At 40.4% G+C, this 15,511-nt stretch overlaps 1 long non-coding RNA gene across 5 annotated transcripts in view, besides 1 other annotated feature; it reads left to right on the forward strand.

The window, feature by feature from the left end:
• The window catches only part of LOC105374928 (uncharacterized), a 106,762-nt gene that overhangs the window by 38,465 nt on the left and 52,786 nt on the right, over positions 1 to 15,511 (forward strand). For 3 of the 5 annotated variants that reach the window (NR_187827.1, NR_187825.1, NR_187828.1), the window contains exon 2: positions 5,458 to 5,640. The exons of the other annotated variants lie outside the window; for them this stretch is intronic. This is a non-coding gene — a long non-coding RNA (uncharacterized LOC105374928). The remainder of the gene's footprint in view (positions 1 to 5,457; positions 5,641 to 15,511) is intronic. 5 annotated transcript variants of the gene reach the window in all.
• Positions 4,395 to 4,584: an enhancer, noted in NCBI's record as "active region_23987". NCBI's record gives its function as "activates an Ori minimal core promoter by ATAC-STARR-seq in GM12878 lymphoblastoid cells {active_cell/tissue: GM12878}" and the evidence as "EXISTENCE:reporter gene assay evidence [ECO:0000049][PMID:35858748]".

Here is a 15,511-nt window from a genome sequence, read left to right on the forward strand (position 1 = left end):
TATTTATGACAAACCCACAGCCAATATCATACTGAATGGACAAAAACTGGAAGCATTCCCTTTGAAAACTGGCACAAGACAAGGATGCCTTCTCTCACCACTCCTACATAGTGTTGGAAGTTCTGGCCAGGGCAATCAGGCAAGAGAAAGAAATAAAGGGTACTTCTTTAGGAAAAGAGGAAGTCAAATTGTCCCTGTTTGCAGATGACATGATTGTATATATAGAAAACCCCATCATCTCAGCCCAAAATCTCCTTAAGCTGATAAGCAACTTCAGCAAAGTCTCAGGTACAAAATCAATGTGCAAAAATCACAAGCATTCCTATACACCAATAACAGAGAGTCAAATCACTAGTGAACTCCCATTCACAATTGTTACAAAGAGAATAAAATACCATGGAATCCAACTTGCAAGGGATGTGAAGGACCTCTTCAAGGAGAACTACAAACCACTGCTCAACAAAATAAAGGAGGACGCAATCAAATGAAAGAACATTCTATGCTCATGGATAGGAAGAATCAATATCATGAAAATGGCCATACTGCCCAAGGTAATTTATAGATTCAATGCCATCCCCATCAAGCTACCAATGACTTACTTTCTTCACAGAATTGGAAACAACGACTTTAAAGTTCATATGAAACCAAAAAGGAGCCCACATTGCCAAGACAATCCTAAGCAAAAAGGACAAAGCTGGAGGCATCACACTACCTGACTTCAAACTATACTACAAGGCTACAGTAACCAAAACAGCATGGTACTGGTACCAAAACAGATGTATAGACCAATGGAACAGAACAGAGACCTCAGAAATAACACCACACATCTACAACCATCTGATCTTTGACAAACCTGACAAAAACAAGCAATGGGGAAAGGATTGCCTATTTAATAAATGGTGCTGGGAAAACTGGTTAGCCATATGTAGAAAGCTGAAACTGGATCCCTTCTTTACACCTTATACAAAAATTAATTCAAGATGGATTAAAGACTTAAATGTTAGACCTAAAACCATAAAAACCCTAGAAGAAAACCTAGGCAATACCATTCAGGACATAGGCATGGGCAAAGACTTCATGACTGAAACACCAAAAGCAATGGCAACAAAAGCCAAAATAGACAAATGGGATCTAATTAAACTAAGGAGCTTCTGCGCGGCAAAAGAAATTACCATCAGAGTGAACAGGCAACCTACAGAATGTGAGAAAATTTTTGCAATCTACCCATCTGACAAAGGGCTGATATCCAGAATCAACAGACTTAAACAAATTTACAAGAAATAAACGACCCCATCAAAAAGTGGGCAAAGGATATGAACAGACACTTCTCAAAAGAAGACATTTATGCAGCCAACAGACACATAAAAAATGCTCAAAATCACTGGTCATCAGAGAAATGCAAATCAAAACCACACTGAGATACCATCTCACACCAGTTAGAATGACAATCATTAAAAAGTCAGGAAACAACAGATGCTGGAGAGGATGTAGAGAAATAGGAAAGGTTTTACACTGTTGGTGGGAGTGTAAACTAATTCAACCATTGTGGAAGACTGTGGCAATTCCTCAAGGATCTAAAACTAGAAATATCATTTGACCCAGCAATCCCATTACTGGGTATATGCCCAAAGGATTATAAATCATGCTACTATAAAGACATATGCACACGTATGTCTATTGCGGCACTATTCACAATAGCAAAAACTTGGAACCAACCCAAATGTCCATCAATGATAGACTAGATTAAGAAAATGTGGCACATATACACCATGGAATACTATGCAGCCATAAAAAAGCATGAGTTCATGTCCTTTGCAAGGACATGGATGCAGCTGGAAACCATCATTCTGAGCAAACTGTCACAAGAACAGAAAACTAAACACCGCATGTTCTCACTCATAGGTGGGAATTGAACAATGAGCACACTTGGACACAGGGTGGGGAACATCACACCCGGGGGGCCTGTCGTGGGGTCGGGGGGAAGGGGAGGGATAGCATTAGGAAAAATACCTAACGTAAATGACGGGTTACTGGGTGCAGCAAACCAACATGGCACATGTATACCTACGTAACAAACCTGCACGTTGTGCACATGTACCCTAAAACTTAAAGTATATATATAAAAAATACTATTCAGTAGGATTTTATTAATTCTGTATGTTAAGAATATGCTGTATGCATTAACTTTTCATTTACTGAGCAAAAGTTTTTTGATTTTGGTATTTGGTTAATAAATGAACAATAATTTTATTCTATAATGTTCAGAATATTTTAGAATTCATTTGGTGTTGTCGAGCAAAAAATTTATGAAAGGATATAGCTCATTTATTTTTCTTTTCAATTATATTTCATGAAGTTCAAGTGTGAAGGTATAGTTTGTGCTCATCAATTAATATATCCTGTCATGCCTAAAAATGTTGGATTTATACTTTTCTATAGTCCTAATATTTAACTTGAAAATCTTCTTGGGGACTTCTTTTAAGTTCAGTGTTTCTAAGAAGTTCTTAGTTTGTTAATTTTTTTCCAAGCTGATTTAGAAACTTTTTGAATGCATCTTAAAATTTTTTGAAGAAATACATTTTTTCTTTGTGTGCTATAAAGTACTCCAGTACTCCTTTAGAATACGTGTATGAGGTAACAGAACTAACATCTTTGTGGAAACTGCTTTTCTTGTGTAGTTACCTTATTGCGCCTATTGTGTCTGGGAGAAGTCACTGATTTTTCTGGATATTCTCCAAATGTCTTTACCAGTGTTTAGCATTATAATAGGAGTCAAGTCTTTTTTTTTTCCACTATAATTTCAGATCGTGAATGTACTCCAGAATAAATATAGTACATAGTTTGTCTTTGCAATGCAAAACCTCAGTCATGTGCCTCCCCACCCCTCCTGGGGGTTAATATTAGGAATTAGAATAAGTCAATGAAATATGGGAACATATTTCATGATCTCACTCATGGCCTGCTTGAGAGGGCCTGAAATAACTACTGAGTAAAAAATAATATTAATCTTAATTGAATTTTCCTAAAGTTAATTGTGATAATGGTTATTTTTCTACTAGGTAAATCAACTGCTTTTTTGAGAATAAATGCCTAAATGAAATCCTGCTTATTTCAATCTATTTAATGCATCTTTAACCTTGAATCAGCATTAGAGTTGTGGCTGTTTTTATTATTATAATTTAACCTCAGTTTTAATATCATATTTAGATTAACTATTTAACAGCTGAACTTGTAATAGCTGTGCATGTTGAGGGCCGCTTCCTGCTAATACCTTTGATTTTCTGTCTGGGGACTTCCTTTTTGACCACTGGGGCATGAATGCCCTGCTCATACAAAGGCTAAGCCAGGAGTGCAGGGGAATTAACTTCAGAAACAGCTCACAAGCAGTGTTAAGGGGGAAGCTAGTAATGACTATCACAGTTTTCTCACCCCTTCATCTGATTAACTTTGAGGCATATTCTACCTCAGTACTTTACAAACTTTATCATTTGGGGATCCTGTTAAAAATTCACATCCTGATTCAGTGGATTTGTGGTAGAGCTTCAGATGATGATGATGATGATGATGATGATGATGATGATGATGATGATGGTCCGCTTTGAGTAGCAGGCTCTACACTGTCTCTCAGAATTCCCCAGTGGAATTCAGCTTCATTTGCCCTCAGTGGTAACTTTCTTGATTATTCTCCTTTGGTTGGTTTTCTTCTCTTGCCTGTTTCTCACTTCTCTATTCCCCTACTAGTGTTTCCTACTTGCATGTGAATTCTTATTTCAGGTTGCTTCTGGGGTAACCCAAGCCAAGAATATGCATCTATCTATTTATCTATCTGCTCACCTATCCATCCATCTATTCATCTACATCTATCCATCCATCCATCCATCCATCCATCCATCCATCCATCCATCCATCCATCCATTTACCTATCTATCTAGCTATGTAATGCATTCATCTATCTTCTATTTATCTATTTATGTAATCTATTTATCTATCTTATCTATCATGTGTCTAATATATTCATTTATCCACCTATCTATTCATCTACCTAATCTATTCATCTATGTATCTACTATTTATCTAATCTATTCATCTATCCATCTATCTAATCTGTCTACCTACTTACCTACCTATCTGGAACATAGCAACAGAGCACAGCCTCTTAAAAAATCCAGTAAATTGAAGAGCTGAAAGAGAAAGAATGAAGACATACTGGAGGGGGTGGAAAGGAAAAGTTGATGACTACCACCTAAAGGGACTTTTTCTTCCTCCTTGTGTCATTTTCAACAGGATGTGGTATCATGGAGCTCTGGTGAAAGAAGAGACTAGGCAGTTAGCTATGGCTACATAAATGGGACAGCTCCAGAAGTCCATGGAGGGATCCCCTTTCTACTAGGAAAGATGGGCAAGGACTTTATGCCTGATTCTATTATTCAGGGCACATTGCTGACAGGGTTGGCCAGTGAGGCCATAGAGAGAAGGCAGGCCAAATGCTAATCTTGGAAAGGACGGAAATCAGCATAAGCAGAGAGACACAGGGTGAAGTGGTAGCGGAGAGCGGATGCCACAGTGTGTGGGCTTGTGGGTCAGCCCTATTAAAGGGAGGAAATCAGTAAATGGGCTTGCAGATGGTTACCCAAGATTTCTTCATGACTTTGTGCAGCCTGTACAATGTATGCTCCTTATCTTGTGGGAGTGTAATTGAGAGCCCTGGACTTCCTCAGCTCAGATCCCAACTCTGCCACCTCCTGGTTATGCTACCTTAGCATGTGTATTCAACCTCTTTAAGCATCGGTCTTCCCATCTATGTAGTGGGGACAGTAATTCCTATTTCATGGGATTGTCATAAAAATTAAATGAGATATTTTGTACAAAGTGCTGCCTTTATTACAGCTGGAGGATAAGAGAGCAGCCCTGATACTGTAAATATTCCCAAGAATGATGAGGAAATGACGGTGGACCTTTTACTTGATTCCAGCGTTATGAACACACACACACATACACACACAGATATAAGCACACATATGTTTAATAGCATATAGGTAGAAAGCCACAGGAGCGGTAATACCCTGATTATGTAAATCAACCCCAGCTCTAACAGCTAAAAAACCCTACTGCTGCTCTTAGCTATGCATGAAATCACCCCCATGAAACTTCTTTGAATAAAGCAAACATCTGTTCTTGGTGGAATGCAAAAGAGAAACTTTATTTGAAGTTCCTGCTTCCCCTTCTCATTAAAAGTATTTCGAGCACTATTAAAATAGTTTCTGCCAAGAGCACTTTTTGTGCTCTTCAGTTTCTTAGGTTCACTGGCCTGAGAACCAGCATTCAGCATTCTTAGTCCCACCATAGCTGGGAGTCTGGGGTCTGGGAAAGGGATAGAGTCAGTTTGTTTTTGCCATCAAGACCCTCTGATCGCCTCAGATGGTCTCACCTGCTATTGCTTCTTTCCCGTCCTGACAGGTTGATATTCTGGAAGCAAGATCTTGGAAGGCCAAGGACAGGTCATTTCTTAGGACTGTGCAAAAGAGAATCAGTCTTTACAGTAAGCTATTTGATTCTAGTAGTTCTTTCATCTCAGTCTTTTGAAAGCAACTTCCCCTCTTTAACCAACACCTGCCATGGCCTCTTCATGAGCCGAAGAAGGTGAGTGCTGATGGAAATCCCAGATGTGGCCAAAACTCCCCAGCAGCAGACAGGTCAAAGGTCTTTTGTACCCTTTCCCGTAACGGGTGGCACTTGATCTTCAGAGTGGCTTACACTGTTCAAGAGGGTTTGAATCATAAGACATTTGGGGTTAAAAAAAAAAACCTGTCATTTTGCATTTTGATTTTTGTAGAGCCAACTACAACGTATTTGAAAATTGTGTTCTTGAAATAAGCCTGTAATAGTAGGTGTCAAAAGTATCAGAGATAAAATGTCTACTCTTTTAGTGGCGTAAGTTGTCGTTGTTTCAAATTACATTTCCTTGTACTATATGATGGATGTACTATGCACACACACTTTATCACACACGTGTGTGTGTGGGAGTGGAAATGTGTAGGTAGTCAGAGAGGGAAGAATAAAGAATTCATGCTAATGTCTAAATAAATGAATTAATTAGTGAAATAAATAGATTCCTGTTTACACTATACTACAATTTTTAAGGATAACCAGTTGTTAATTAATACACTGGACTTGAAGGAGACTCATTTGTGTTGAAACATGAAATGTTTGTCCTCTCTCCTTCTCCCTCCCACCTGGAAAACATGAAAGATCTGCAACTCACACATACTAGTGTAATTTAAACACACTTTGAAAGAATTGATAGGCTGGGCGTTGTGGCTCACGCCTGTAATCCCAGCACTTTGGGAGGCTGAGGCAGGCGGATCACGAGGTCAGGAGATCCAGACCATCCTGGCTAACACAGTGAAACCCCGTCTCTACTAAAAATACAAAAGAATTAGCCAGGCGTGGTGGCAGGCACCTGTAGTCCCAGCTACTCGGGAGGCTGAGGCAGGAGAATGGTGTGAACCCGGGAGGCAGAGCTTGCAGTGAGCCGAGATTGCGCCACTGCACTTCAGCCTGGGAGACAGCGAGACTCGGTCTCAAAAAAAAAAAAAAAGAATTGATAGGCAGCAATTCTAACCTAAAGGGTTCATATTGAAACCACTGATCATAGATATCTGAATAGGTCCTAATTAATGAGAGAGTGCAACCATTTTCTGCTTGAGGGAATTGCCCATGTTCCAGACTGCAGACTTGACATTCACATGCCATGAGAAAACATGGATTCAAATACAGAGACCCTAGGCTATTTCCTGGAGCTCCAACGATGTCATCAGAAACAAAAATGTTCCATTTGACAACCATGAGATTTGACACTATTGACCTACATGGAAGTTTTTAACACTGCCACTCATTCTGCCATGTGTAAAGGGGTTCAGCAGGGTGACCTCAGGGATGCATACATGCATTTTCTCCACACGTCCTCCTTAATTCAAGGATCATATCTGTGGCTCCCCTAGCAAAGAATCAAAGGCCAAAGGTGGGTGGCCCAGACTCTTTCTCGTACTGGGGAACACAGGCAACAGCTGCGGCATATCACTGAGCTTGGCTGCTGACAGGGAAAAGCATTGATAATTTCATCAGATCTCACAGATCAGAAACAACAGAATACCCTCCCGCTAATTGGTGGCCACCGTGACCGCTATAGTTGGTTTGATTGAAATCAGTATTTAAATGATATTTTTAAATTGTGGTGAAATACACGTAACATAAAATTTACCATCTTAACCATTTTTTTAGTGTATAGTTCAGTCGTGTTAAGTATGTTTACAGTGTTGTGCAACCAATTCCAGAACTGTTTCATCTTGCAGAACTGAAACTCAATGCCCATTAAGCAATTCCCATTTCCCACTCTCCACAGCCCCTGGCAACTGCAATTCAACTTTCTCTCTCTACAAATTTGGCTACTTTAGGTACCTCACGTAAGCGGAATCATACAGTGTTTGTTCTTTTGTGACTGACTTATTTCACTAAGCATTTTGCTCTCAAGGTGCATCCATGTTGTAGCGTGTGTCAGAATTTCCATTCTTTTTAAGGCAGAATAATATTCCATTGTATAAATATACCACACGTTTATCCATTTACTTGTCAATGGATACTTGGGTTTCTTCCACCTTTTGGCGATTGTGAATGATGCTGCTATGAGTGGGGGCGTAGAATCAGTGTATTTAATTCTAACACTAAAAGGCTCATATTCCGTTGCATGACTAACCCACTCTATGATCCTCAGGAAGTCATGTGTTTTGTAGAGAGCATACAGTTGTTCTAATTCAGGGATCCCTTTGGATCCATGATACTCATTAATATAGCTGAGTGGAGTTAGAGAATCTGTAGGCATGGAGCAGAAAGAAAGCTTAGCCAGTCTAAAAGTTGATGTAAATTTAAATCTTGGACTCCTTAGCACTAAATTTTCATTGCCCAGACTGTTCCAGCCAAGATTCACTGAGTGGATATTACCCAAAAGTTCCACCCTTATTGATAAAACAGTCATGGCTAACACTTGCATAGTGTTTAAAATGTTCTAGACCCCATTTTTAAGCTACGTACACTATCATCATCATAACTGTTTTACAGATGGGAAAATGAGTCTGGGTAGTTAAGTCCCTTGCCTAGTGTATGCAGTTAGTCGGGGCTGGTGTTTGAATGCAGGTAGTTTCACTCCAAAGTTCACGCACTTCACCATGATACTGTGGACATACATGGATAGATGTATATGGGAAAGTATATGATTGGGTGTTTTGGCAATCAGCAATAAGAGGAGACACATTAGAACTCCAAATCAATATTGTTAAAGAATGGTGCAACACACGTATGTTTATTGCGGCACTATTCACAATAGCAAAGACTTGGAACCAACCCAAATGTCCAACAATGATAGACTGGATTAAGAAAATGTGGCACATATACACCATGGAATATTATGCAGCCATAAAAAATGAGTTCAGGTCCTTTGTAGGGACATGGATGAAACTGGAAATCATCATTCTCAGTAAACTATCGCAAGGACAAAAAACCAAGCACTGCATGTTCTCACTCATAGGTGGGAATTGAACAATGAGAACACATGGACGCAGGAAGGGGAACATCACACTCTGGGGACTGTTGTGGGGTGGGGGGAGGGGGGAGGGATAGCATTAGGAGATATACCTAATGCTAAATGACGAGTTAATGGGTGCAACACACCAGCATGGCACATGTATACATATGTAACTAACCTGCACATTGTGCACATGTACCCTAAAACTTAAAGTATAATAATAATAAAATTTAAAAAAAAATGGTGCAACAGCATAAAATAGAAAGTCCTCTGGTTTTCAAGTTGCACACAACTAATTGGAATCCCAGCTCGGCCAGCAGCTATTTGATAACACTGACCAAGTTTTTATCCTCTTGGCTTCAGTTTCCTTATGTGAAAATGAGAATAATAACATCCACTTAACTCAGTTGTGGAAAATTAAGAAAATAATGTTGTCAAGTGCTTAGCTTATAGTAGGTACTCAATAAATGTTAGTTCTCTTCACTCTTTTGGGGCAAGAGAAGAATGTGATCTCAAAAAACAGAAATATGTTGGCTGGGTGTGGTGGCTCATGCTTGTAATCCCAGCACTTTGGGAGGCCAAGGCAGGCAGATCACGAGGTCAGGAGATGACACCATCCTGGCCAACATGGTGAAACTCTGTCTCTACTAAAAATACAAAAATTAGCTGTGCATGGTGGCTCGTGCCTATAATCCCAGCTACTCGGGAGGCTGAGGCAGGAGGATCACCTGAACCAGGGAATAGGAAGTTGCAGTGAGCTGAGATCGCGCCATTGCACTCCAGCCTGGTGACAGAGCGAGATTCCGCCTCAAAAAAACAAAAACAAAAAAACAAAACAGAAATATGTTTTCATAAAGGCATATGTTGCATAAACACTTTTTTAAATGATTGCCATTAAATATGAACACTTATACCACTTTATTTTTCTTGTGTACACGGAACTTAACATTTTAATTGCCTCCTCTCTTGTGTTCTGCCAGAATCTGTTCACAAATGCAAGAGACACGTGATGTTGGAAACCTAACAACAGGTCCTAGTAAAATCAACCTTGTATTTTCTTCAAGTGGAGAAAGAGCTTTAAATGACAAGATAGGGACTTTGTTAATGGGCTAAATCTACGTTGTCTTTTCCTTGCCCTAGAATTCCATGCCTTTGAATATTTGTCATAAGTCAGCAAGGGAAGTGCTGTCTCTCAGGCTTCACCCAAGGTCATTGTTATGTTTTAGCAGCCACATAATCAAAGTCTTGCCTTTTCTTTTTATTTTTAAAAAATAGTGTAACAATCTAATCAATAGAAAATGCTATAAGTACATTTTTTTGATAAAATAATACTCACATGGAAGCTTAGATATTATTTGTCCAGTTAGATAAGTTGATTCAATAATAACCACACTTGTTAGGATAGTGTTGCACAAGGAAAAATGTCTTCCCATTGCCCCAGTACTCTTTGCTTTGAAGATATACACAGTAAGCCACCAAAGGGCCAATGTGAGATGCACAGAAATTCAGATCTGCCACTTTTTTTTTTTGAGACGGGTTCTGGCTCTGTTCCCCCAGGCTGGAGTGCAGTGGCACAATCTCAGCTCACTGCAACCTCCACCTCCCGGGTTCAAGCAATTCTTCTGCCTCAGCCTCCTGAGTAGCTGGGATTACAGGCACGCACCACCATGCCCAGCTAATTTTTATATTTTTGGTAGAGACGGGGTTTCACCGTGTTAGCCAGGATGGTCTCTATCTCCTGAACTCGTGATCTGCCCGCCTCGGCCTCCCAAAGTGCTGGGATTACAGGCGTGAGCCACTGCGCCCAGCCCAGATCTGCCACTCTTAAAAGGAAGGTAGAGAAGAAGTTTCTTCATAGAGATTGAAGGATAGCATATATCTTTATGTGGAGACTTACATCTCCATACATGTATAGACAACAAATATTTCCATGTTGTTTCTCACTATTACCCCTCTTTTCTTTGTAATGTTTTTCTTTGAGCAAAAAGTTTAACTCTTTAATTTGTTTCCTCTGTATGATGTTTAGGGATTGATTTCCATTAAATATCAAAAGAATGGCAAGTTCAAACAAGCTTAAGAAGCTATGGAACTGTCTGTAAGATGGATTCTATTTTCCATTTGTGCACGAAATACCTTGTTATCCACATTATTTGAAGTTCTAGCCTACAGAGAGATAAGGACATTTGATTGAGTGTGAAAGGTAGGAATGGAAGTGTGGGTTGTTTAACCTTATTGGACTCTGTTGTTGATTTCCAGATGGCAAAATGCATGTCCAGCCTCCAGTGACGCTGCATGGAGGGTTGGTGCTTTACTGAATGAAAGTGTTAACTGGAAAAACTTCCCTTACCTGGAAACAGATGAAGTCCTATAACTTTTAAGACCTGGCTCTTTTTGCGTATTATGGTAGTTTGTGCTTTCTGATATCTTTTCTTTCTTTCTTTCTCTTTCTTCCTTTCTTTCTTTTTTTGAGACGGAGTCTTGCTCTGTTGCCAGGCTGGAGTGCAGTGGCATGATCTCGGCTCACTGCAACCTCTGCCTCCCAGGTTCAAGTGATTCTTCTGCCTCAGCCTCCCAAGTAGCTGGGACTACAAGAGTGTGCCACCATGCCTAGCTAATTTTTTTTGTATTTTTGGTAGACACGGGGTTTTACCATGTTGGCCAGGAGGGTGTTGATCTCTTGACCCAGTGATCCGCCGGCCTCGGCCTCCCAAAAGTGCTGGGATTACAGGCATGAGCCACCACGCCCGGCCCTGATTATCTTTTCTTGAACAATCATATCCCTTCTTTGGAGTGACTGGATGTCTGCTGTCAACATTTACATCAAATCATATTTTTCCCTTAGGCCAACCCTGCCCACAATCACTCTTGAACTATTAGGTTACTGCTATAAAACACTATTCACAAATTTTAAAAGGTAATTACTGTTTGCATCTTTAAGTTCTCAGGAACAATTTTGTTGGTTATTCTGCACCTTATAATATTAGTCTATTCCCATTTTAGAGACAAAACTAAGCATGAGATAGGATAGTGACTGGTTGAGAAGTTAGCAGTGAATTGTGGTTCAAGGTGAGAATTCACAGACTTTGGTCCACTGAGCCATGTTTCCCATGCTTACATGTCTGTGAAACAGCTGCAGCTGAAACTCTGAGAAATATTCTCTGCAAAGTGGAATATTTTAAAAGAACCAAGATCTCCTTCCCCTCTTCTCTTCATACAAGAATCTGCCCCATTTCTCATAGCTATTCACCCTCCTTGGTTTGAGCACCCTGGGACAGCAACTCATTGTAGATCCAGTATCTCCATTTGACAAAAGGTGCTTCTCCCAGTAGGGAAAGCCCCTAAAAATCTACTTCTTGGGCTTTGACATTGGCCAGTATTTTGGGACAAGGGTTTTCAGAAATAATTTTTCAAAGGGGAAATGTTGCATTCCTTAGCTAGATTATTGAACTGGAAGTTCGTGAGCCTTGTCCCTATAATTTATAAATCGGTTTAGTCCTTTGCATCTCAAGGTGTCATCTCTTTGCTTTTAACCTCTGTCATTTTTTCCTTTCTTTTCCCCTTGTTGTCTTCTTTCTCTCTGTATATGTTTCTATCATTTTTTTTCTTTATCTCATGTTTATATTTCTCTCTGGGCTGTTTTTCTATGTTTTGTCTTTGTACTTCTTTCCTTGCTCTTATTTACCTTTTGCCATAATTTCAGTGAATGTTTATTGGACACCTATTTCAAACTAAGGAGTGGGCTGAATACTAAAGAGATAGAATGAAAGTCTTTGCCCTTCAAGAAAATCAGCACTCTTGTAAAACCTGTTGCCTCTCTTAATTAACCATGATAGAAAACTGAGTTATCTTTCCTGGCTTTGTCTTATGTTTCTCACAGTTAACTGAAAAAGAGAAAGAAAATTAAATATGTTATATTTCCTATTGCAAAGAAAAAAAAGATCATCTAAGTGGGTTTGTTTTTTTACCTTTTTTTGACACCCAGTTGATTTTATATATTTTACACCAATGGGCCTTGGCTGAAAACAACATAATGAAACAGTGTATTCATCTCCACCTGATTCTTTTTCCTCTGGCATGAAAACAAAAATGTTAGGCCAGCGCGGTGTCTCATGCTTGTAATCCCAGCACTTTGGGAGGCCAAGATGGGTGGATCACATGAGGTCAGGAGTTCGAGACCAGCCTGACCAACATGATGAAACCCTGTCTCTACTGAAAATACAAAATTAGTTGCGCATGCTGGCACATGCCTGTGATCCCAGCTACCTGGGAGGCTGAAGCAGGAGAATTGCTTGAACCTGGGAGACGGAGGTTGCAGTGAGCCAAGATCGCGCCATTGCACTCCAGCCTGGGCAACAAGAGCGAGACTCTGTCTCAATTAAACAAAAACAACAAACAAACAAAATGCTAATAATATGGGTCAGGTTCTCTGAGATCCTATTGGTTCATCTCTCATCAGTAAGCAATGAAGCAGTGCCTTATGGTTGGCTTACATGCAGACACTTCCAGTCTTTCACGTAGTGAATTGCGTGAGACTAACAGTGCTCAGCCTCGGGCTTGCCTCAGAGCCACCTGGAGGGCTTGTTAAAGCACCTGTTTCTGGGCCCCACCCCTAGAGTTTCTGATTCAGCAAGTCCAGGCAGGGGCCTGAGAATCTGCATTTCTTACAACTTCCTGAGTGATGCTGATGTTGCTGCTTCTGGGACTAAATAGTTCAGAGACAATTTTGCGGGTAGGGTTTTGGTGGCAGATCTATTCACTTATCCTCATTTTTTTTTTTTGTTCAGAATAGTGAATCTTTGATGTAGCTTGAATGTTTGTCCCCTCCAAGTCTCATGTTGACATGTGATCCCCAGTGTTGCAGGTGGGGCCTGGTGGGAGGTGTTTGGGTCATGAGGTGGATTCCTCGGGACAGTTTGATGCCATTCTGACAAGATGGAGTGAGTTCTTACTCTTGGCTCCTGCAAGATCTGGTTGTTAAGTCTGCTGCCTCCTTCCCCTCTCTTTGGCCTCCTCCTCTCTTGTCCTGTGACTTATTTTCTCCCCCTTCACCTTCCACCATGAGTAGAAACTTCATGAGGACTTCACCAGAAGCTGAGCAGATGCTGGTACCGTGCTTCCTGTATAACCTGCAGAACCATGAGCCAAATAAATCTCTTTTCTTTATGAATTACCCAGCCCCAGGCATTCCATTATAGCAATGCAAATGGACTAAGACAACCTTTAAAAAAACTAATAAATAAAAATATCATTTAATACACTATTCTTTATTTTCCTATGAGTGAAGAGCATAAACATTATTCTCAAGAGTCTCAGAACTTCCAGCCTTGGCCAAGATACAAAGGGCAGGGGACCCTTCTTTAGATGCTACTTGGTGTTTGCACACCTCTCTCAGCTGTGTCAGACATTGCTAAGGAGCTTTGTAGTCAACTCTGGCAATATTGTTTTTTTAAGCCAAGGAGCAAAAACATGAGCATGGCTCAATATTAAATGTTGACTTTAAAGTCCTCCTGCTCTTACTGTTTTTGTAATTTAAAGAAATCTAATCCCTTCATATGGCCCTGCTGTGCCTCTCCCTGGCATCATATTTGTTTGGGCTTTGGAGTCAACATTAATACAATGATTTAAAGGAAAAAGAAAACAGCAACCTTAAAAGCCGGGGTTTCTTTTAGACCCAGGCCATGGACAGGCCAACCGTATGGGTGTGGATGTAGGACATCTGCATGTTTCTGCGAAGAGCACATGTGTGAGGGAGAAATGGGGAGCACTGGGGCCACCCAACTTATGAAACAGAGAAAGGCTTTACTGCTTAAAAACCTTAAGGATCAGGTCGGCAGGTGGCTTGGGTGACACAGGAAAGAATTTGGGGATTTAAAAAACCTACAAATGATGTTTATTTTTTATTTTTATTTTTTGAGGTAGAATTTTGCTGTTTTGCCCAGGCTGGAGTGAAGTGGTATCATCTTGGCTCACTGCAACCTCCGCCCACCCAGGTTCAAGCTATTCTCCTGCCTCAGCCTTCTGAGTAGCTGGGATTATAGGCACCCACTGCCACACCTGGCTAATTTTTGTATTTTTAGTAGAGACGGGGTTTCACCACGTTGGCCAGGCTGGTCTCGAACTCCTGACCTCAGGTGATTCACCCGCCTCAGCTTCCCAAAGTACTAGGATTACAGGTGTAAGCCACTGCACACGGCCTACAAATGATGTTTAAATGTTATTTAATACATTGAAGTCTCCAAGAAGACAGTTTTATTAACTCTCTGATTTTCAATTCACTCCAGTAATAGTGAACTTTTGCTTCTCAAATGAGAACCTTCTTAATTTTCTGAGACTAACTCTAAGCTCTAACTCTAAGCTGTTATAATATTTTTCTTTTTCCTTTTTTTTTTTTTTTTTCTTGAGACGGAGTCTCACTATGTTGCCCAGGCTGGAGTGCAGTGGCATGATCTTGGCTCACTGCAACCTCTGCCTCCCAGGTTTGAGTGATTCTCCTGCCTCAGCCTCCTGAGTAGCTGGGATTACAGACGCACACCACCACGCCCGGCTAATTTTTGTATTATTAGTTGAGGCAGGGTTTCACCATGTTGGGCAGGCTGGTCTCGAACTGACCTCGTGATCCACCCGCCTCAGGCTCCCAAAGTGCTGGGATTACAGGCATGAGCCACCGCGCCAATATTTTTCATTTGAACCATAAAAAAAATTCACTGTGAGTACTGAAAGTATTTTTTACTTACAAATATCATACTATTTTTTGTTTTTGTCTTTTTTAAAGACAGTGTGTCACTGTACCCTGCCCATGCTATCTTTTAAATTTATTCAGCAGACTCAACCTTTGGGCCCCAATGTAATGGCGTAGAGAACATTTCATATCAACTCATTCATCTTGTCTGTCCATTTGTTCTTGGCCTTGGTAGAACTGGAAAACTTCTGACA

Source organism: Homo sapiens, chromosome 6 (assembly GCF_000001405.40).
Source record: "Homo sapiens chromosome 6, GRCh38.p14 Primary Assembly".
NCBI lineage: Eukaryota > Metazoa > Chordata > Mammalia > Primates > Hominidae > Homo > Homo sapiens.